Below are 23,466 nucleotides of genomic sequence, written 5' to 3' on the forward strand. Positions count from 1 at the left end.
ACCATACTGGTCAGGCTGGTCTCGAACTCCTGACCTCAGGTGATCCACCCGCCTCAGCCTCCCAAAGTGCTAGGATTCCAGGTGTGAGCCACTGCACCTGGTCAACAATCTTTTTTTTTTTTTTTTTTTTAATTTATTTTTTTATTGATAATTCTTGGGTGTTTCTCACAGAGGGGGATTTGGCAGGGTCATGGGACAATAGTGGAGGGAAGGTCAGCAGATAAACAAGTGAACAAAGGTCTCTGGTTTTCCCAGGCAGAGGACCCTGCGGCCTTCCGCAGTGTTTGTGTCCCTGATTACTTGAGATTAGGGATTGGTGATGACTCTTAACGAGCATGCTGCCTTCAAGCATCTGTTTAACAAAGCACATCTTGCACCGCCCTTAATCCATTTAACCCTGAGTGGACACAGCACATGTTTCAGAGAGCACAGGGTTGGGGGTAAGGTCACAGATCAACAGGATCCCAAGGCAGAGGAATTTTTCTTAGTGCAGAACAAAATGAAAAGTCTCCCATGTCTACTTCTTTCTACACAGACACGGCAACCATCCGATTTCTCAATCTTTTCCCCACCTTTCCCGCCTTTCTATTCCACAAAGCCGCCATTGTCATCCTGGCCCGTTCTCAATGAGCTGTTGGGCACACCTCCCAGACGGGGTGGTGGCCGGGCAGAGGGGCTCCTCACTTCCCAGTAGGGGCGGCCGGGCAGAGGCGCCCCTCACCTCCCGGACGGGGCGGCTGGCCGGGTGGGGGGGCTGACCCCCCCATCTCCCTCCCGGACGGGGTGGCTGGCCGGGCTGAGGGGCTCCTCACTTCCCAGTAGGGGCGGCCGGGCAGAGGCGCCCCTCACCTCCCGGACGGGGCGGCTGGCCGGGCGGGGGGCTGACCCCCCCACCTCCCTCCCGGACGGGGCGGCTGGCCAGGCGGGGGGCTGACCCCCCCCACCTCCCTCCCGGACGGGGTGGCTGCCGGGCGGAGACGCTCCTCACTTCCCAGATGGGGTGGCTGCCGGGCGGAGAGGCTCCTCACTTCTCAGACAGGGCAGCTGCCGGGCGGAGGGGCTCCTCACTTCTCAGACGGGGCGGCCGGGCAGAGACGCTCCTCACCTCCCAGATGGGGTCTCGCCGGGCAGAGGCGCTCCTCACATCCCAGATGGGGCGGCGGGGCAGAGGCGCTCCCCACATCTCAGACGATGGGCGGCCGGGCAGAGACGCTCCTCACTTCCTAGATGTGATGGCGGCTGGGAAGAGGCGCTCCTCACTTCCTAGATGGGATGGCGGCCGGGTGAAGACGCTCCTCGCTTTCCAGACTGGGCAGCCAGGCAGAGGGGCTCCTCACATCCCAGACGATGGGCGGCCAGGCAGAGACACTCCTCACTTCCCAGACGGGGTGGCGGCCGGGCAGAGGCTGCAATCTCGGCACTTTGGGAGGCCAAGGCAGGCGGCTGGGAGGTGTAGGTTGTAGTGAGCGGAGATCACGCCACTGCACTCCAGCCTGGGCACCATTGAGCACTGAGTGAACGAGACTCCGTCTGCAATCCCGGCACCTCGGGAGGCCGAGGTTGGCGGATCACTCGCGGTTAGGGGCTGGAGACCGGCCCGGCCAAACAGCAAAACCCGGTCTCCACCAAAACCAGTCAGGCGTGGCGGCGCGCGCCTGCAATCGCAGGCACTCGGCAGGCTGAGGCAGGAGAATCAGGCAGGGAGGTTGCAGTGAGCCGAGATGGCAGCAGTACAGTCCAGCTTCGGCTCTGCATGAGAGGGAGACCGTGGGGAGAGGCAGAGGCAGAGGCAGAGGCAGAGGCAGAGGCAGAGGAGGCAGAGGCAGAGGAGGCAGAGGCAGAGGAGGCAGAGGCAGAGGAGGCAGAGGCAGAGGCAGAGGCAGAGGCAGAGGCAGAGGCAGAGGCAGAGGCGCCTGGTCAACAATCTTAAGTCCAATAAGAATGTTTCTTATGAAGACACTACTTAAAAAATTCTTAATAGGTTACCTTGATGGTCTAATACAGAATTGTCCAATAGAAATATAATGTAAGCCACATACATAATTTAAACTTTTCTAGTGGGCATGTTAGAAACCAGCAAAAAGAAACCACTGAAATTAATTTTACTAAGGCATTGTTTAACCAGACATATCACAAATATTATCCTTTCAACATATATTCGATATAAGATTATGACTTAACTATTTGACATAGTTTTTTCTTGCTAAGTCTTCAAAATCTAGCATATATCTGACATTTACAGCATATCTCAATTTGGAATAGTCACATTTCAAGTGCTCAATAGTCATATGTAGTTAGTGACTACCATATGGTCAATGTTTACAAATGTAAACATTGTAAGAGACTTACATTTTCTTCACATAGTTTGTTGTTATCATTAAATAATAATCCTTAAAATCCATTTTATTGGATACCAGTATTGCTACTCCTATGTTATTTTTTCAATTCCCCATCTCTTTTAATTTGAAAATGATTTGTAGGCAGGTGGGTGGCTCACACCTGCAATTTCAGCCCTTTGGGAGACTGATGCAGGAGGATTGTTTGAGCCCAGGAGTCTGAGAGCAGCCTGGGAAACGTGCTGAGACTGCATCTCTACAAAAAATCAAAAAATTATCCAGGTGTGATGGCGCACACCTGTGGTCCCAGCTACTCAGGAGGCTGAGGCAGGAGGATTACTTGATCCGAGGAGGTGGAGGCTGCAGTGTGCCATGTTCACACCACCTCACTCCAGCCCGAGTGACAGAGTGAGGCCCCATTTCAAAAAAATAAAAATTTCTTTGGCATATGGAAATCTTGTTTAAAAAGTTTAGAAAACATTTTTTAAAACTCCAATATGAAAAGCTGGGTGCAGTGGCATGCGCCTATGGTCCCAGGTACTTGGGAGGCTCAGGTGGGAGGATCATTGAGCTCAGGAGTTTCAGCACCTGTGGTTTTTTGATTTATTTATTTAAAACACAACAAAAACCAAAATTGCTTCCATCTCATAGTCTTTTGATGTCAGCATTCTGATTCTGTCCACTCTTAATCTTATTCTTTCCACTGAATGTAAGCTCATTTCTTTAACAGAAATTTCCTTTTTCCTTATTAATTTTGGAATTTCATGGTACTTTTCCACTTTTAGGGAGATGCAGTGCAGCGTCTTCAAGTCTCCCACTCTTACGCCTGTCTCCTTCACTTGTAAGAGCCCTTGTGATTACACTGTCCTGCCCAGATACCCAGGACAATCTCCCCATCTTAAAACTCTTAATTTAATCATATCTGTGAAGTCTCTTCCACCTGTAACGGAACATATTCCCAGGTTTGAGGAAGTACAATGTAGATACTTTTGTGGGGCTGTGATTCTGCCTACCACAGACACTAAGCTTAAAGTGAAACCCACATCTTATTCAAGGCTTGGAGGTTTTCCTCTATTCGACCATTTAAATTTAATTTTTGTTCCTTTTCTCCATAGTCTTCTATTCTCCAGGCTTCAGAGCTATCAGCTTACCATTCAATTATCTCCTTTTTTCCTGATCTTCCTTTTTTCATTTTTAAAAAACAATACCTTTCAAAGAGCAAAAGTTTTAGATTTTGATGAGGTTCTTTCTAGCAAAGTTTTATCATTTGTTGTTTTTGTACCCTAAGGAATCTTTACCCCAAGATGTGAAGATTAGTTTCTGTGTTCTCTTACAAACATTAAAGAATTCCAGTTTGTGTGTTTAGGTCTGTGAGATTGGCAGAGGGGAACAAGACCACACAGGTCAGTCTTTCAGGATGCTTTTTTCTGTCTCTGGACTTTGCTGGGGTGACCTCACTGACACCCATGGCTTCCACATATGCGGATGGCTCCAAGTCTATCTGTGCAGCCCAGACCCCTCCTCATCTCCAGACCCTGGAAGCTGATGACTTGGGCAGCTCCTTCTGTTTCCCAGGCACCAGGAGCTCCTCCCTCCCCATAGTTCTGCTATCCTTAGGGCCCCTAGGTCTCTGGAGTACCACCGTCTTCCAAGATACATGGGCCTCCTCAGGGTCTGGGAGTCCCAGACATGTGACAAGAAATCAGATGACTTCACTGTCTAAATAAAACACTACTACTTGGAGGTAGAACATGGGAGCCCATGAATGTGGGAAGAGCACACTACCAGGCGTGTTCCACCCGTCACCTGGGCTCATCATGAGGGTGCTTAGGAAGCATATAGTTTTAAGGGGGTTGGAGGAATAGTTCAGAGGCTGAGAGGTTGCACCCACAGCTGAGAATCCCTTTCTAGTGCTCTATGTCCTTACAAATTCCCAGGAATCATCCTCTACTGGACAGTTCCCAAAGCCCTTGCAGACCTTCCTTTTCTGTGCCATCCTGCGTGTGCTGCCCTTGAGCTGGGTGTCCCCCAGTAGACGCTTCCATTCACTGCCTGTCCCATGGGTTCTGTCCAAAGGTGGAATCTGTTATCAATGTGGAGTAATTTCCTCCCTAAGGGAAGCCTCAGCCTCACCAGCAATGGCAGACACGGCCAGGCAAGAAGACACAGGGGCAGTGAGATAGAAAGTGCACACCCCAGACAGCCTGCCCACATCATCCTGAGGTGACCAGGACAAGGTGGCATCAGCAATCTTGTGAGCACAGCACATGTGGGAGTGACTTTCTGGAGTAGGATAAGCCTCATTGGGCTTGAGGCCCTTGTGAGTGCTCAGGGTCTCTCCTTTAGAAAGGCACATATTTAATTCTCCATCTTGAAATTTGGACTAGGGCCCCCACAAATTGTGCAGCCCATTCTGTTCTGGAGGAACCATTCTTATCAGAACTTGGTGCTGGATTGACTTGGAGAAGAGCCTGACCATAATCTTCAGGATGAAATAAAGGCCTGGATGACTGAAATAAAGACTGGAGCCTTCGGCATTCAGAAGAGGAATTCAGACTGTGCAAGATCTGAGGCCAGGCTCCAGCTCCCCCAGTCCCTTGGTGAGCAGGAGCTCCCTGAACCCACCATGGGTCTTTGCTAGGGTTGTCTTGCCCATGTGTGCTTTAGATAGCAGCACCTCTTCTTCCATGGTGTATATGGAGAATCCTCAACAAAGTCTTCCCAAGAATCTGATCATCACATCTTGAGCTCAGCCTCCCTGCAGCTTTTTCTATATTGACAGCCACTTCAGAGAGAGTCCTCTCTGATCCTTACAAGAAATATCCTGGTGCGAAAAACGACCAAAACCACATAGCCAGCCTCCACGCTGTTCAGAGAAAGCTGGCTTAGCAATGTTGTATGGTTTTTGGATGCGCTGCGTTACTCATACATGAGAAGAAAGTTTCAAGGGTTAGCAAATAGGGTCACATCCAGCAGAGAGCATATGACTGGGGGCTAGGGCAATGGTGACTCCTCAGACCTCAGCTGCTGCCTGATAAACATGGTTAACAGAGAAGTAGGAGACAGTGACATGAAATGGGTGTTCACAGCCTTGTGTTGGGAATTGGATGAGAAACAAGAGCTTGAACTTGGATGTTCCCCAGAGTGAGCACAGGGTCAGACGTGTTTTTCAAGATAGTCATGATCGGTCTTTTCCAGGGTGGGGCCCACAGTGAAAAACAGTGATAGATTAATGGTTAATAATTAACTAGAGGAGGGCACTCTGTCTTCCAATTACACGTTGATTTGCTAAGTGGCTCAGTGACAAGGTAATTAAGATGAAGAAAGCAAATGTAGCAGGCACAGCGTGGGGTGGACAGTCAGCTGTCCGTGTCTTCTGCTGAGATGGCCACAGGACTCCAGGTTCCCCTGCCGTGGCTGGCCACAGGACTGCTGCTTCTCCTCAGTGTCCAGCCCTGGGCTGAGAGTGGAAAGGTGTTGGTGGTGCCCATTGATGGCAGCCACTGGCTCAGCATGCGGGAGGTCTTGCGGGAGCTCCATGCCAGAGGCCACCAGGCAGTGGTCCTCACCCCAGAGGTGAATATGCACATCAAAGAAGAGAACTTTTTCACCCTGACAACCTATGCCATTTCGTGGACCCAGGATGAATTTGATCGCCATGTGCTGGGCCACACTCAACTGTACTTTGAAACAGAACATTTTCTGAAGAAATTTTTCAGAAGTATGGCAATGTTGAACAATATGTCTTTGGTCTATCATAGGTCTTGTGTGGAGCTACTACATAATGAGGCCCTGATCAGGCACCTGAATGCTACTTCCTTTGATGTGGTTTTAACAGACCCCGTTAACCTCTGCGCGGCAGTGCTGGCTAAGTACCTGTCGATTCCTACTGTGTTTTTTTTGAGGAACATTCCATGTGATTTAGACTTTAAGGGCACACAGTGTCCAAACCCTTCCTCCTATATTCCTAGATTACTAACAACCAATTCAGACCACATGACATTCATGCAAAGGGTCAAGAACATGCTCTACCCTCTGGCCCTGTCCTACATTTGCCATGCTTTTTCTGCTCCTTATGCAAGCCTTGCCTCTGAGCTTTTTCAGAGAGAGGTGTCAGTGGTGGATATTCTCAGTCATGCATCTGTGTGGCTGTTCCGAGGGGACTTTGTGATGGACTACCCCAGGCCAATCATGCCCAACATGGTCTTCATTGGGGGCATCAACTGTGCCAACAGGAAGCCACTATCTCAGGTCTGTATTGGTGCCTTCATCCAATCAATGTTCCAGGCAAAACACTTTTTAAAAAAATGTATTTATTTAAAATTGCTTCCATATTTACTTATCTTTCCAAATATTTCATTTCTGCTTCTCCTTGTCATAATAGCCTTCAGTGAGATAAACTGTTAAGGGGTCTCTAGTAGCGTATTTCAGGTTTTAAATGGTCACTGAGAGGAAGAGGAAGTAGACACGAATGTTTGTAAAAGGATGGACAAGGACTGGTGTGACTCATAGAGACTGTTGGTTTGTAAAGGCACCATCTTCATGGTTGTGCATGTCCTTCAGCTTGGCAGGAACAGGGACACTACGTTTGGAACTGATCCATCCTGGATTTTTTGCTAGCATGATTTTCAGGGGAAAGATGATGCAACAGTAAATTACAATTGTTGACATGATAATTTTTAGTTGTCCCATCTTGCAAATGATAGACAGGTGACCACAGGAGACCTAGGCACTCACATGAAATAGAAGTGTCAGAGAGGTTGACTCAGTGGAAGTGGGGCAATGAAGTTGGGATGGATGTCTGTGATTAGAGAATGACACACGAAGTTCAGTTTCCAGACAGGGATCTGTGCTGTCAAGAGATTTTCTGGTCAGGATTTGGGGTCTGGTGCATGATGTGGGGACATCTCAGAGTTCGGAAGGCAAAGTAATGGTTGCATCTCAAATGATTCTTCTACTTGGAATGCTGAAATTATCAAGAAATGGCGGAAGGGGCTAGGGAGGAGATAAGACTGTGAATCTATAAGCCCAGTGAAGCTGGGGACAGTGATGAATGGACATGCGTCCAAGAAGGGAAGCATTTCTCAGGAGAGGCTCATCACATCACCAAACCCACCCTACTGCACTCCAGGTTTCTATAGTGGGATCTACTCCTTTACCAAAAATTTCAGAGGCAGCTTTCATTAATCCAGAATATTTGGGTTTCGTTGAAATGGTACTCTGGGACCTGAATATTGTTTCTTATTCCTTGCTGTGCCATGTACATCGTGAGAGAATCAGCCTTTTTATGTCATATTCACCGAATGTGTATGAACTTCCATGATTTAGATCCTTTTGTATTCTTATTTCTGTGCCTTTTTTATAAATGTAGGTATTATTGCAAAAGACTCTAAGCTTCATTTTTCTTTTTGATCAAACGACATGATTTTTTTATGCAATGTAATTATTCAATTATAAAATACGTGTTTATTTAGATTTGTAAAAATGTTGAAAAGTGGGATGGCATTTAAATAGTGACTGTTGCCCTTCCAGTTTTTCTTTCTTTTTTTTTTTTTTATTATACTTTAAGTTCTAGGGTACATGTGCACAAATTGCAGGTTTGATACATAGGTATACATGTGCCATGTTGGTTTCCTGCACCCACCAACTCGTCATTTACATTAGGTATTTTTCCTAATGCCATCCCTCCCCCAGTCCCCCACCCCACAACAGGCCCTGGCGTGTGATGTTCCCTGGCCTGTGTCCAGTGTTCTTGCTGTTCAGTTCCCACCTATGAGTGAGAACATGCGGTGTTTGGTTTTCTGTCCATGTGATAGTTTGCTGAGAATGATGGTTTACAGCTTTGTCCATCTCCCTGCAAAGGACATGAACTCATCCTTTTTTATGGCTGCATAGTATTCCATGGTGTATATGTGCCACATTTTCTTAATCCAGTCTATCATTGATGGACATTTGGATTGGTTCCAGGTCTTTGCTATTGTGAATAGTGCCACAATAAACATACGTGTGCATGTGTCCTTAGAGTAGTATCATTTATAATCGTTTGGGTATATACCCAGTAATGGTATGGCTGTGTCAAATGGTATTTCTAGTTCTAGGTCCTTGAGGAATCGCCACACTGTCTTCCACAATGGTTGAACTAATTTACACTCCCACCAATGGTGTAAAAGTGTTCCTATTTCTCCACATCCTCTCCAACATCTGTTGTTTCCTGACTTTTTAATGGTCACCATTCTAACTGGCGTGAGATGGTATCTCATTGTGGTTTTGATTTGCATTTCTCTGATGACCAGTGATGATGAGCATTTATTCATGTGTCTGTTGGCTGCATAAATGTCTTCTTTTGAGAAGTGTCTGTTCATATCCTTTGCCCACTTTTTGATGAGGTTGTTTGTTTGTTTTTTTTCTTGTAAATTTGTTTGAGTTCTTTGTAGATTCTGGATATTAGCCCTTTGTCAGATGGGTAGATTGCAAAAATTTTCTCCCATTCTGTAGGTTGCCTGTTCACTCTGATGGTAGTTTCTTTTGCTGTGGAGAAGCTCTTTAGTTTAATTAGATCCCATTTGTCTATTTTGGCTTTTGTTGCCATTGCTTTTGGTGTTTTAGTCATGAAGTCCTGGCCCATGCCTATGTCTTCTAGGCCATGCCTATGCCTAAATGATATTGCCTAGGTTTTCTTCTAGGATTTTTATGGTTTTAGGTCTAACATTTGAGTCTTTAATCCATCTGGAATTAATTTTTGTATAAGGCGTAAGGAAGGGATCCTGTTCCAGCTTTCTACATATGGCCAGTTTTCCCAGCACCATTTATTAAATAAGGAATCCTTTCCCCATTGCTTGTTTTTGTCAGGTTTGTCAAAGATCAAATGGTTGTAGATGTGTGGTGTTATTTCTGAGACCACTGTTCTGCTCCATTGGTCTATATATCTGTTTTGGTACCAGCACCCATGCTGTTTTGTTACTGTAGCCTTGTAGTACAGTTTGAAGTCAGGTAGCATGATGCCACCAGCTTTGTTTTTTTTTTTTTTTTGCTTAGGATTGTCTTGGCAATGCAGGCTCTTTTTTGATTCCATATGAACTTTAAAGTAGTTTTTTCCAATTTTGTGAAGTCATTGGTAGCTTGATGGGTTTGGCATTGAATCTATAAATTACCTTGGGCAGTATGGCCATTTTCACGATATTGATTCTTCCTATCCATGAGCATGGAATGTTCTTCCATTTGTTTGTGTCTTCTTTTATTTCGTTGAGCAGTGGTTTGTAGTTCTCCTTGAAGAGGTCCTTCACATCCCTTTTAAGTTGGATTCCTAGGTATTTTATTCTCTTTGTAGCAATTGTGAATGGGAGTTCACTCATGGTTTGGCTCTGTTTGTCTGTTATTGGTGTATAGGAATGCTTGTGATTTTTGCACATTGATTTTGTATCCTGGGACTTTGCTGAAGTTGCTTATCAGCTTAAGGAGACTTTGGGCTGAGACAATGGGGTTTTCTAAATATACAATCATGTCATCTGCAAACAGGGACTATTTGACTTCCTCTTTTCCTAATTGAATGCTCTTTATTTCTTTCTCTTGCCTGATTGCCCTGGCCAGAACTTCCAACAGTATGTTGAGTAGGAGTGGTGAGAGAGGTCATCCTTGTTTTGTGCCAGTTTTCAAAGGGAATGCTTCCAGTTTTCGCCTACTCAGTATGATATTGGCTGCGGGTTTGTCATAAATAGCTCTTATTATTTTGAGATACTTCCATCAATACCTAGTTTATTGCCAGTTTTAGGCATGAAGGGATGTTTAATTTTGTTGAAGGCCTTTTCTGCATCTGTTGAAATAATCATGTGGTTTGTCATTGGTTCTGTTTATGTGATGGATTACATTTATTGATTTGCATATGTTGAACCAGCCTTGCATCCCAAGGATGAAGCCGACTTGATCGATGTGGATAAACTTTTTGATGTGCTGCTGGATTTGGTTTGCAGAATTTTACTGAGGATTTTTGCATCGATGTTCATCAGGGATATTTGTCTAAAATTTTCTTTTTTTGTTGTGTCCCTGCCAACCTTTGGTATCAGGATGATGCTGGCCTCATAAAATGAGTTAGGGAGGATTCCCTCTTTTTCTATTGATTGGAATAGTTTCAGAAGGAATGGTACCAGCTCCTGTTTGTACCTCTCTGGTAGAATTCGGCTGTGAGGAAGGGGAACATCACATACTGGGGCCTGTTGTGGGGTAGGGGGAGCGGGGAGGGATAGCATTAGGAGATATACCTAATGTTAAATGACGAGTTAATGGGTGCAGCACACCAACATGGCACATGTATACATATGTAACAAACCTGCACATTGTGCACATGCACCCTAAAACTTAAAGTATAATAATAATAATAATAATAAAAAGAATTTGGCTGTGAATCCATCTGGTCCTGGACTTTTTTTGGTTGGTAGGCTATTAATTATTGCCTCAATTTCAGAGCCTGTTGTTGGTCTATTCAGAGATTCAACTTCTTCCTGCTTTAGTCTTGGGAGGGTGTATGTGTCCAGGAATTTATCCATTTCTTCTAGATTTTCTAGTTTATTTGTGTAGACGTATTTATAGTATTCTCTGATGGTAGTTTGTATTTCTGTGGGATCGGTGGTGATATTGCCTTTACTATTTTTTATTGCGTCTATTTGATTCTTCTCTCTTTTCTTCTTTATTAGTCTTGCCAGAGGTCTATCAATTTTCAAAATCCATCTCCTGGATTCATTGATTTTTTTGAAGGTTTTTTTGTGTCTCTATCTCTTTCAGTTCTGCTCTGATCTTAGTTATTTCTTCCCTTCTGCTAGCTTTTGAATTTGTTTGCTCTTGCTTATCTAGTTCTTTTATTTGTGATGTTAGTGTGTTGATTTTAGATCTTTCCTGCTTTCTCCTGTGGGGATTTAATGCTATAAATTTCCCTCTACACACTGATTTAAATGTGTCCCAGAGATTCTGGTATGTTGTGTCTTTGTTCTCGTCGGTTTCAAAGAACATCTTTATTTCTGCCTTCACTTCGTTATTTACCCAGTAGTCATTCAGGAGCAGGTTGTTCAGTTTCCATGTAGTTGTGCGATTTTGAGTGAGTTTCTTAATCCAGAGTTCTAATTTGACTGCACTATGGTCTGAGAGACAGTTTGTTGTGATTTCTATTCTTTTACATTTGCTAAGGAGTGCTTTACTTACAATCATATGGTCAGTTTTAGAATAAGTGTGATGTGGTGCTGAGAAGAATGTATATTCTCTTGACTTAGGGTGGAGAGTTCTGTAGATGTCTATTAGGTCTGCTTGGTGCAGAGCTGAGTTCAGGTCCTGGATATCCTTGTTAACCTTTGGTCTTGTTGAACTGTCTAATATCGACAGTGGGATGTTAAAGTCTCTCATTATTATTGTGTGGGAGTCTAAGTCTCTGTGTAGGTCTCTAAGAACTTGCTTTATGAATCTAGGTGCTCCTGTATTGGGTGCATATATATTTAGGATAGTTAGCTCTTGTTGTTGAATTGCTCCCTTTACCATTATGTAATGGCCTTCTTTGTCTCTTTTGATTTTTGTTAAAGTCTGTTTTATCAGAGACTAGGATTGCAACCCCTGCTTTTTTTTTGCTTTCCATTTGTTTGGTAGATCTTCCTCCATCCCTTTATTTTGAGCCTATGTGTGTCTCTGCATGTGAGATAGGCCTCCTGAATACAGCATACCGATGGGCCTTGACTCTTTATCCAATTTGCCAGTCTGTGTTTTTTAATTGCAGCATTTAGCCCATTTACATTTAAGGTAAATATTGTTATGAGTGAATTTGATCCTGTCATTATGGTGTTATCGGGTTATTTTGCCCGTTAATTGATGCAGTTTCTTCACAGCATCGATAGTCTTTACAATTTGGCATGTTTTTGCAGTGGCTGGTACTGGTGTTTCTTTCCATGTTTAGTGCTTCCTTTAGGAGCTCTTGTAAGGCAGGCCTGGTGGTGACAAAATCTCTCAGCATTTGCTTGTCTATAAAGGATTTTATTTCTCCTTCACTTATGAAGCTTACTTTGGCTGCATATGAATTTCTGGGTTGAAAATTCTTTTCTTTAAGAATGTTGAATATTGGCCCCCACTCTCTTCTGTCTTGTAGGGTTTCTGCAGAGAGATCTGCTGTTAGTCTGATGGGCTTCCCTTTGTGGGTAACCCGACCTTTCTCTGTGGCTGCCCTTAACATTTTTTCCTTCATTTCAACTTTGGTGAATCTGACAATTATGTGTCTTGGAGTTGTTCTTCTCGAGGAGTATCTTTGTGGTGTTCTCTGTATTTCCTGAATTTGAATGTTGGCCTGCCTTGCTAGGTTTGGGAAGTTCTCCTGGATAATATCCTGAAGAGTGTTTTCCAACTTGTTTCCATTCTCCGCATCACTTTCAGGTACACCAGTCAAACGTAGATTTGGTCTTTCCACATAGTCCCATATTTCTTCAAGGCTTTCCTTGTTTCTTTTTACTCTTTTTTCTCTAACCTTGTCTTCTCACTTTATTTCATTAATTTGATCTTCAGTCACTGATACCCTTTCTTCCAGTTGCTCTAATCAGCTATTGAATTTTGTGCATGTGTTATGAAGTTCTTGTGCCATGGTTTTCAGCTCCATCAGGTCATTTAAGGTCTTCTCTACAGTGTTTATTCTAGTTAGGCATTCATCTAACCTTTTTTCAAGGTTCAACCTTCCTTGCAATAGGTTCGAACATGCACTTTTAGCTTGGAGAGGTTTGTTACTACCAAACTTCTGAAGCCTACTTCTGTCAACTCGTCAAAGTCATTCTCTTTCCAGCTTTGCTCCATTGCTAGCAAGGAGCTGTGATCCTTTGGAGGAGATGTGCTTATGCGCTATGGTTTTTAGAATTTTCAGCTTTTCTGCTCTAGTTTCCCCCCATCTTTGTGGTTTTATGTACCTTAGGTCTTTGATGTTGGTGACCTACAGATGGGGTTTTGGTGTAGATGTCCTTTTTGTTGATGTTTATGCTGTTCCTTTCTGTTTGTTAGTTTTCCTTCTAACAGTCAGATCCCTCAGCTGCAGGTCTGTTGGAGTTTGCTGGAGGTCCACTCCAGATGCTCTTTGCTTTGGTATCACCAGTGGAGGCTGCAGAACAGCAAATATTGCAGAACAGCAAATATTGCTGCCTGATCCTTCCTCTGGAAGCTTCATACCAGAGGCGCACCCACCTATATGAGGTGTCTGTTGGCCCCTACTGGGAGGTGTTTCCCAGTCAAGATACACAGAGGTCAGGGACCCGCTTGAGGAGGCAGTCTGTCCATTCTCAGAGCTCAAATGCCATACTAGGAGAACGAGTGCTCTCTTCAGAGCTGTCAGACAGGGATGTTTAAGTCTGCTGTTCCCCACATGTTCAGAAGTTGTCTGCTGCCTTTTGTTCAGATATGCCCTGCCCACAGAGGTGGAGTCTATAGCGGCAGTAGCCCTTGCTGAGCTGCGGTGGACTCTGTTCAGTTCCAGCTTCCTGGATGCTTTGTTTACCTACTCAAGCCTCAGCAATGGCGGACACCCCTCACCCAGCCAGGCTGCCGCCTCACAGTTCAATCTCAGACTGCTGCACTAGCAGTGAGCAAGGCTCCGTGGGCATGGGAGCTGCTAAGCCAGGCAGGGGAGAGAATCTCCTTGTCTGCCAGTTTATAAGACCTTGGGAAAAGCACAGTATTTGGGTGGGAGTGTCCCGTTTTTCCAGGTACAGTCTGTCATGGCTCCCCTTGTCTAGGAAAGGGAAATCCCTCACCCTCTTGCACTTCCTAGGTGAGGCGACGCCCTGCCCTGCTTCGGCTTGCCCTCAGTGGGATGCACCCACTATCCAACCAGTCCCAATGAGATGAACCAGGTACCTCAGTTGGAAATGCAGAAATCATCCATCTTCTGCGTCGATCATGCTGGGAGCTGCAGATCGGAGCTGTTCCTATTTGGCCATTGGTGCTGAAGCTTCCGTTCTCCTCTCCAACACCTCCTTTTTTTTTCCTTTTCTCTTCCAGTTTTTCAATGTGAACATATTCTCTAGAGTTAACTACATTGGCTCAAATCTTCACTATCATCTCAGTGGAGCAGAACAAATTGGGAACTGTGGCACAGGTCACTCTTGCTATGCCCCTTAAGAATTCCACATTAACAAAGCTAATTTTCGAGTGTGGTAAAGAACAGGCTAGTGTATTTAGTAGTGAGTCCATTGACTGTTTCCCAACATGAGGTCACACTAGATTTAATATGGTTTGGCTCTGTGTCCCCCACCAAATCTCATCTTGAATTGTAATCCCCATAATCCCCACGTGTTGAGGACAGGACATGGTGGGAGGTCCCCACCTCCTAATCTCATCATAGTGAGTGAGTTCTTATGAGATCTGATGGTTTTATAAGGGGCCCTTATCCCTTCACTTGCAAGCTATTCCTCTTTCTCTCTTTCATGTAAGACGTGTCTTTGCCTCTCTCTCACTTTCTGCCAGGATTATAAGTTTCCTGAGGCCCCTCCAGCCACATGGAACTGGAGTCAATTAAAGCTCTTTCCTTTATAAATTACCCAGTCTTGGGTATGTCTTTATAGCAGTGTGTGAATGGACTAATACAGTAAATTGGTGTCATGGAGAGTGGGGTACTGCTATAAAACTACTTGAAAATGTGGAAGTGACTTGGAACTGGGTAACAGGCAGAGGCTGGAACAGTTTGGAGAGCTCAGAAGACAGGAAGATGTGGGAAAGTTTGGAACTTCCTGGAGACTTGTTGAACGGTTTTGACCAAAATGCTGATAATGTTGTGGACAATGAAGTCCAGGCTGAGTCTCAGATAGAGATGAGGAATCTGTTGAGAACTGGAGCAAAGGTCACTCTTGCTAAGCTTTAGCAAAGAAACTCGTGGCATTTTTGCCCCTGCCCTAGAGCTCTTTGGAACTACGAACTTGAGAGAGATGATCTGAAATTGGAACTTATGTTTAAAAGGGAAGCAGAGCATAAAAGTTTGGAAAATTTGCAGCCTGACCATGTGGTAGAAAAGAAAAACCCATTTTATGGGGAGAAATTCAAGCCAGATGCAGAAATACTAGCTAAAGAAATTTGAATAAATAAGGAGGAACCAAATGTTAATCACCAAGACAATGGGGAAAATGGCTCCAGGGCATGTCAGAGACCTTTGCAGCAGACCCTCCCATCACAGGCCTGGAGGCCTAGGAAGGAAAAATGGTGTTTTAGGCTGGGTCCAGGCCCCCACTGCTGTGTGCAGCCTCAGGACTTGGTGCCCTGTGTCCCAGTGGCTCCAGCCATGGCTAAAAGGGGCCAAGGTAGAGCTCAGGCCATTGCTTCAGAGGGTGCAAACCTCAAGCCTTGGCAGCATCGATGTGGTGTTGGGCCTGCGGGTACACAGAAGATAAGAATTTAGGTTTGGGAACCTCCACATAAATTTTAGAGGATGTAAGGAAATGCTTGGATGTCCAGGCAGACGTTTGCTGCATGGATAGAGTCCTTATAGAGAACCTCTGCTAGAGAAGGGTGGTAAAGAAATGTGAGGTTGGAGCCCCCACACAGAGTCTCCACTGGGGCACTGCCTAGTGGAGTTGTGAGAAGAAGGCCACAGTCCTTCAGAACCCAGAAGGGCAGATCCAATAGCTTGCACTGTGTGCCTGGAAGAGCCACAGACATCAATGCCACCCTCTGAAAGCAGCCAGGACGAGGGCTTTACCCTGCAAAGCCACAGGGTTGGAGCTGCCTGAGACCGTGGGAGCCCATTTCTGGCATCACCTTGATCTAGATGTGAGACATGAAGTCAAGGGAGATTATTTTGGAGCTTTAAGATTTAATGACTGCCCTGCCTGGTTTTGGACTTGCATGGGGCCTATAGCCCCTTTGTTTTGGCCAGTTTCTCCCATTTGAAATGGGAACATTTACCCAATTTCTGTACCCCCATTGTGTCTTGGAAGTTACTAACTTGTTTTTGATTTTACAGGCTCATGGGGGAAGGGACTTGACTTGTCTCAGATGAGACCTTGGACTATGGACTTTTGAGCTAGTGCTGAAATGAGTTAAGACTTTGGAGGACAGTTGGGAAGGCATGATTGGTTTTTAAATGTGAAAAGACATGAGATTTGGGATGGGCCAGAGGGCAGAATGATATGATTTGACTGTGTGTTTCCACCCAAATCTCATCTCATATTGTAATTTCCATAATCCCCATGTGTTAAGGTTGGTACCTGGTGGGAGCTGATTGAATCATATCGGCAGTTTTCCCCATGCTGTTCTTGTCATACTAAGTGAGTTCTCATGAGAGCTGATGGTTTTATAAGGGACTCTTTCTCCTTTACTCACAAGCTTTTCCTCTCTGTCTCTCGCCTGCTGCCATGTGAGACATGCCTTTGCTTATCTCTCACCTTCTGTCATGATTGTAAGTTTCCTGAGGCCTCCCCAGTCATGTGGAACTGTGAGTCAATTAAACCTCTTTCTTTTATAAATTACCCAGTCTCAGCTGCGTCTTTATAGCAGGCTGAGAATAGACTAATACAAGATTGGTGGTGATTGAAGTTATACTGAAAGGGTTTAAAGGAGAGTCTGAGAAAAGGAAATGAATCTGCATTTATTGAGAAAGTTGATGAGAAAGTGGAATTAGAAATTCCTAGAAAGGTAAGTTGTTGTGTGAATTATTTCCCAAAATGGGGAAGTCTCTCTACCTGTTTGGAGACAGAAAGTGGAATCAGAGGAGAAGAAGATGATGGACAGAAAGGATCATTCCCTCTTCCAGATGCTTTCCAGTGTGTGATGTAAGCTGAACTAAAATCAGCTGTGTTGAACTCCAGCCAGAAAAAATGTCCGGCATTTTGTTTTTTGGGACCCTAATGAAATGGTTACAGGTCTCCAGGTCTCTTGGGGCTCACAGGGTCATGCCTTTCCTTGCCCAGTGTACTTGGTGAGAAGGTACAGGTGTTTCCATGGAGGGTGTTCATTTTAGGGATTTCAAGAGGGTCATCTTTGCACCACAGGAAATGCCCCCTTTTACACTCTGAAAACCTTATCAAACCGTTGTATAAAAGATGAATACCCACATAACAGGCTCTAGCACTGTTCTGTTTTTGAGCTGAGACATTTTAAAAGGAGATTTTTCAATTCTAAAAATTCTTTAAATAAAATGCTCTTGCAGGGACAACATAGTAGGTCAACATTGTTCCCATCTCCACAAAAAGTTTTTTTTTTAATTAGCTAGGTGTGGTAGCATTTCTGTAGTCCTAGCTACTGGGAATGCTGAGGAGGAAGGATCACTTGAGCCCAGGAATTCGTGGTTACAGTAAGCTATGATCTTGCCTAGGTAACAGCTACAGAGCGAGACCCTGTCTTTAAAACAAACAAGCAAACAGACAATCAAGCTTTACACTTCTATAAAAGCAACACTTTCCATTTATGACAGCACTAATCCAGGATATATCAAAACTGAACTTGTGTTTGCTTTCAACTGTTAAAACTAGCCAGAGTTGTTACAGACCCACTACCTCTGAGTGACACTGGTATGCCACTCTTTGCTGACCACTGAACAATGGGATTTATGTACCCAATTGTGTAGATACACACCAACTCATTCTACTCTACCCAGAGTAGTGATTTCCAACACACAAAACCACAATGAAACTGCCCATGCCTTTCTACCACTTTGAAACTCCTTTCATCCCTGAACTGCTCCAAAAGCAAACCTACTCAGCAAACTACTCAGTGAGTATCTTCACACATGTAAGTTCCCTCGTCTGATGTACAAAAAACTGAACTCATTTTTCAAAAGCCTTAACAGTCTGTCTTATTCTGATACTTCTTTTATGGTTATTGTATGAGAATCAACTACCCAGGCACCTCGGAGCATGTTGATTTCAGAGTTCAGTGTCAGACCCCATGAGCCCCTGTGGGATGGTGCCAGCTGACTGCCATGTTCCTGCTGTTTATTGCTTGGGTGCCATTACATGCAGAGTGGACTCTGAGGGTTCTAGAGCATATCCAAACCCATATCACACTCTTTGTTGGTTAATGATGTGTTCAGGCCATGATTTTTCTGTAAAAAATTACCAGCATGCTGCTCTTAATTTTTTTCAGCCTATCCAGTTCAGTTGCCTTTTGCTCTCATGCCTTATGCAAACCTTTCCTCAGAGGTGACCCTAGAAGAAGGGACCCTTTGTGATGGAAAAGGTCTTCATTTGGGGCATAACCTGTGCCAACAGAAAGGTACTTTCTTGTTGTGTTTATGGTGCCTCACCCAAAAAATATTACAGATACACTTGGCTTTCATCAACCTAATTTGATATGTCCCAAGCATAGCAATAGGATAGTTCTGTGTGGCCTTATGGAGATCCTTTTTTTACATTTCCAGGACCCACTGCCAAGACCAGCTTGGTCGTGGAGACCCTAACCCAGCAGCGCTAGACGAATTAAAGACACACACACAGAAATATAGAGTGTGGAGTGGGAAATCAGGGGACTCACAGCCTTCAGGGCTGAGAGCCCCAAACAGAGATTTACCCACATATTTATTGACAGCAAGCCTGTGATAAGCATCATTTCTATAGATTATAGATTAACTAAAAGTATTCCTTACGGGAAACAAAGGGATGGGCTCTGGCTAATTATCTGCAGCAGAAACATGTCCTTAAGGCACAGATGGCTCATGTTATTATTTGTAGTTTAGGAACACCTTAAGCGGTTTTCCTCCCTGGGTGGGCCAGGTGTTCCTTGCCCTTATTCCAGTAAACTCACAACCTTCAGCATAGGCATCATGGCTATCATGAACACGTCACAGTGCTGCAGAGATTTTGTTTATGGCCAGTTTAGGGGCCAGCTTCTGGCCGGAATTGGGGGCTTATCCCCAGCAACCTACCATAGTTGGAGAACCACGTTCAGGCTGAAGACAGTCCTAGTATACCACCGACCAACCATGTAACCCCAAGGTTTGTCCTCAGCCTTCAGAGGGAACATGCTTCCACCGATTTCAGCTCAGTGATATGGGATTCAAATGTCTGACCTCCAAAATATTAAGATAATAAATGCATGTTGTTTTGAACCATCATTAAATTAAGCCAGAAGTATTGATATTATTTGTAGATTTCACCACTACACACTAAACAATAAAGTCAAATGATTTAGAGCAAACCACCTGGCTCACACTTTCCCAACGGAAAAAGGTAATGCTCAAAGTGCTGAACTGAACATTCTGTCCTACCACTAGCAAATAATCATTGTCTGCCTCAGGCTTAAGTTTAATAAATAGCAAATTGCATACAGATATTTTACAACGATTGAAAGACAAACAGAGGTCCTATCCGTGTAGTCCCAACGATAAGAACAGGTGTTGGCATGAAGTGTTTATAAATTCTTGGGTACAGCTGTTCTGAAAGTAAAGTTCACTTTCAATCCTAAAAAAAGTCCGCTATTCCTCCAGATGTGCTTAAAGTCAAATGTGGACTGGAATTACTTGGTGTCAATGCGGAGTAACTGCTCTTTGCTATTTATTATGAAGGACTTTAACTCAACTCTCCATCTTCCTCCACTTCCACCCTTTCTTGGCCATTCTCAATGATTCTCTTGGTGGTGATTTTTTTACCATCAACTATTTCAGTGGAAGTCGACATGGACTTGAAGCTGCCTGTCCCATCACTACCGTAGGACATGCAGAAGGAAGAAAGGCCCCCACTTCCCAGGGAGCCAAAGGAACGAAATCCTGTATCAAAAGAAGAAAAAACACCCCCAAAAGCTGGAAATTCACTGAAGGCAGAGAAAAGGGGTGCAGACGCTCTGCTTCTGCTTCCCCAGCAGTTCCTCTGACCCCCCCAAAATATTCTCCAGCGGGTTTCCCAAGAGGTCAAAGGAGAATGGGTCCTGGCCGCCGAAGAACTCCCTGAAGACGTCGGCTGGGTCGCGGAAGCTGAAGACGTACTCGAAGGGGTCCTCGAAGGGCCTGCCGCCTGTGCAGCCGCCCTCCGCCCCCGCCTCGCCATAGCGGTCATAGATATCGCGTTTCTTGGCGTCCGACAACACCTCGTAGGCCTCGGCCACCTGCTTGAATCTCCTCTCCGCTTCCTCCTTGTTCTCAGGGTTTTTGTCGGGGTGCCACTTGAGCGCCAGCTTGCGGTACGCCTTCTTGATGGCCTCGGATGAGGCCTGCCGGGGCACGTCCAGCACCTCGTAGTAGTCCACCATGCTGGATGGCCAGAACGGCCCACCAGGCACTGGCACAGCGAGCGGCAAGGCTGCCAGCACCCAGGCGCAGGCCCGAGTGCTCGGAGACCTGGGCCGCCTGGAGAGACGCCCCTTATGACGCAGCCACATCTCATTGGTCGAGGCCTATGAGCGCCTCGCATCCCAAGATGCAGTGCTTCTGGGACTGGCCCTGCTCTCTGTGAGGCTCTGTGAGGCCCTGTGATGCTCCAAGACCAGGCCCCGCCCACTCCGGCCTCCAACCAGCCATGGTCTCCAAAAAGGATGGGAAAAAGAGGTTGGGGAAAAGAGAGGGCCTTGACTTTGGCTGCCTGAAGAACTGTTTTTCTTAAAGTAGGCTTTATATCAGTCTTTTTCCTCGGCCACAGGAGGGAAGAGGGTGGTGGGAGTGAGTTTAGTCTGACTGGGGCTGAAGACATCCTGTTGTTTAGGACTGCAGTTCTCCAACGTTCCAGCCCCGGTGCCCATTTGCTTTTGTTCATGTGGATTATATCTATCATACGTACTGCATTAGAGATTAAAACAGAATTAAAAAGACATATTAATTGGGCAATTTAGTAAGAATAAACCCATGACACAATAGCAAATCTTATTTTTATGTAAATTTTATTAAGACAAAATGTAGTGAGAAGAGTGGCATCGTTTTACAGTTTTTGCATCTCTCTTTAGTACTTGGCTCTATAGAGAGGTGGATTCTCATGTCAGCTTCTGTATTCAATCTACTGTGATATTACACATCACCCATGTAGCTTCTGGAAAACTCCACTGTACACTTGTGAGAGAATGACGGTGAAAAAATCAAGTAGCATTATTATGGAAATAGTTTTAACTTTGCAAAATTCTCCTGAAAAATTCTTGGGGATCCCTAGGATTTCCTGGCTCATACTTTGAGAATCGCTAGTCTAGCAGAGTAGTCCTTGGTATTCTGAAGGGATTAGTTTAGGACAACCCTCCTCTCCATACCAAAATCTAGATGCTCAAGCTCCTTTTATAAAATGACACAGTATTTGTATATAACCTACCAATATCCTTCTTTAAGCCTCTAGTCATCTCTTGATTACTTTTACCTAATAAATGTAAATGCTATGTAAATAGTTGTTTTACAGTATTGGTTTTTTATTTGTATTATTTGTATTGTTTTTTCATTGCTCTTCCCCCCAAATATTTTTAATCTGCTGTTGGCTGAATCTGCAGATGTGAAGCCCAAGTATATGGAGGGTCAAATGTGCATGTTATTCACTTTTCTTGACTGCTAAAACAACCAGGGAGATCCTCTCAGACAAAAGGAAATACAGCACTATTTACTGTATCGAAACCATTAAGACTTGCAGGCCGTGTGTATAGCACTGGGGATAAACGTGGGATGCAGTGATTATTTCCACTAGAACTGCTATATCATGACCATGAATTTTGGGGGAATTTTTTTGAGATCTGAGTTCTCTTCACCTCCTTATTCTCTTTTTGACACTGGATTCTTTTCTTTGATAAATTGTGAGGCAATACACTAGTAAAGGTCACTCAGTTCTAAGGGGAAAATGATTAACCAAAGAACATTCTAAGATTTCCTATAGGGTATTAGGTCTAATGGGGATGTGTTATGTCACCAGAACAAACTTCTAAGTTTATATAGCCTCTAGTGACATAACCTGAGACCCGGACTTGGCACTTGGTAAGCACACAATGAACAGTCATAGAAAGCTGGCCGAGGGTAGAGTTCAGTGTGAACAAAGCAATTTGGGAACATCAAAGCAAGTTTGGAGAACAACAAGTGATCCAGAATGGCTGGAGGGTAAGAGGCAGAGGGAGGGGGCAAGCAGAAGGGGTGGAGAGGAGGAATGAGCTTAGACAGGGGGGCTGGGGTCTATCCCAGAGTTTTGAGAGCAAGGCAGAGGACTCTGAATTTTCTTCTGTGCCCAGGAAGCTGCTGACCAAGGTTCCAGAAGTGTTGGTGGGGTGGCGTTTTTCAGGGAGCAGCTGAGGCAGTGATTCAGAAGGGACAGCTGGGGGTTGGGCAACTGGGGGACAGGGGCCCTGAAATGGGACCATGACAGCTGGGTCTGAGAGACAGTGGTAGAAACATCCAGATTCAGCACTTACTTGCTGGCTTGGATGCAGGGTCTAGAACGAAAAGAGAAGAGGAGTCACTTCTATACAGAAACATGTCCAGAGTGCTTACTGTCTGCAAAACTGTGGACTGGCACCTGAGTGATAGCATGATTCCAAAGCCAAAATCTTGCCTGTAAGGAATATATGTATAGGATATAGCTATACTCTAATAGCAAGGACAGATATGCAAACTGCTAAAAGATACAAGGCAGAACAGAACAAAACGCTGTGGGGATTCAAGGAAGGTGGCTTTGTTTCCCTTGGAGGGCCCTGTAGATGATCTACAGGGCAATGGACATGTTTATGTTGCTCCTTTAGTAACAAGTCCCTTCATTCTGATTTGATGAAAGGAGCTGGGAGTGTGTCCAATGGTGACCTATTAACTTATGTCTTCAGCTTAAAAAGAAAGTACCTTCAAAAGGGTTCCAGAAACACTTTCCATGGACATGTCACTCTTTAGTAGCCCCCAAAGCAAGACCATCATATTGCTGCCCTGCTGTGTGACTTCTTAGCCCCTAGAGCACCACACCCTGTAATTGCCTAGTTGTGAGTTTGTCTCTGTTCACCTGACCCCTCCTTTCAGGCAAGGACCATTTCTAACTTGGCTTTCTGTCCCGAGTTCCTAGCATAGTAGGTAGGGCTCACACATTCCATAAATATTTGGTGGATAAGGGAATTAGCAATGGATTCTGCTTTGGTTCCAAAGCAGAGATTAATTGGATTGCTTAGTAGTGGTTTTCTGTTGTAATTCATGAGCGTGAATGTGGATTGCCTACTATTGCCTACCACTGTTGGGGACCTCTCAGACCTCAGCTGCAGCCTGATAAACGTG

The 23,466-nt window shown here is 44.8% G+C and overlaps 8 protein-coding genes, 1 pseudogene and 1 further gene across 10 annotated transcripts in view; 9 read left to right on the forward strand and 1 right to left on the reverse strand.

Moving 5' to 3' along the window:
* The window catches only part of UGT1A (UDP glucuronosyltransferase family 1 member A complex locus), a 187,861-nt gene that overhangs the window by 137,968 nt on the left and 26,427 nt on the right, over positions 1-23,466 (forward strand).
* UGT1A8 (UDP glucuronosyltransferase family 1 member A8) overlaps positions 1-23,466 on the forward strand; it is a 155,668-nt gene that overhangs the window by 105,774 nt on the left and 26,428 nt on the right. The window lies entirely within an intron of this gene.
* UGT1A10 (UDP glucuronosyltransferase family 1 member A10) overlaps positions 1-23,466 on the forward strand; it is a 136,853-nt gene that overhangs the window by 86,959 nt on the left and 26,428 nt on the right. The window lies entirely within an intron of this gene.
* UGT1A9 (UDP glucuronosyltransferase family 1 member A9) overlaps positions 1-23,466 on the forward strand; it is a 101,403-nt gene that overhangs the window by 51,509 nt on the left and 26,428 nt on the right. The window lies entirely within an intron of this gene.
* The window catches only part of UGT1A7 (UDP glucuronosyltransferase family 1 member A7), a 91,400-nt gene that overhangs the window by 41,506 nt on the left and 26,428 nt on the right, over positions 1-23,466 (forward strand). The gene's annotated exons all lie outside the window — the stretch shown is intronic.
* UGT1A6 (UDP glucuronosyltransferase family 1 member A6) overlaps positions 1-23,466 on the forward strand; it is an 81,599-nt gene that overhangs the window by 31,705 nt on the left and 26,428 nt on the right. The window lies entirely within an intron of this gene.
* Positions 1-23,466, forward strand: part of UGT1A5 (UDP glucuronosyltransferase family 1 member A5) — a 60,394-nt gene that overhangs the window by 10,500 nt on the left and 26,428 nt on the right. The gene's annotated exons all lie outside the window — the stretch shown is intronic.
* The window catches only part of UGT1A4 (UDP glucuronosyltransferase family 1 member A4), a 54,565-nt gene that overhangs the window by 4,671 nt on the left and 26,428 nt on the right, over positions 1-23,466 (forward strand). The gene's annotated exons all lie outside the window — the stretch shown is intronic.
* Positions 5,636-23,466, forward strand: part of UGT1A3 (UDP glucuronosyltransferase family 1 member A3) — a 44,259-nt gene continuing 26,428 nt past the window's right edge. The window contains exon 1 of the mRNA NM_019093.4: positions 5,636-6,587. Coding sequence (NP_061966.1) covers positions 5,721-6,587 — 867 coding nt within the window. The 5' untranslated portion in view covers positions 5,636-5,720. The remainder of the gene's footprint in view (positions 6,588-23,466) is intronic.
* DNAJB3 (DnaJ heat shock protein family (Hsp40) member B3) lies at positions 19,344-20,592 on the reverse strand (annotated as a pseudogene). Its single transcript, NR_172931.1, has one exon. The product of NR_172931.1 is annotated as a DnaJ heat shock protein family (Hsp40) member B3 (transcript).

Source organism: Homo sapiens, chromosome 2 (assembly GCF_000001405.40).
Source record: "Homo sapiens chromosome 2, GRCh38.p14 Primary Assembly".
In the NCBI taxonomy this organism is placed as follows: domain Eukaryota; kingdom Metazoa; phylum Chordata; class Mammalia; order Primates; family Hominidae; genus Homo; species Homo sapiens.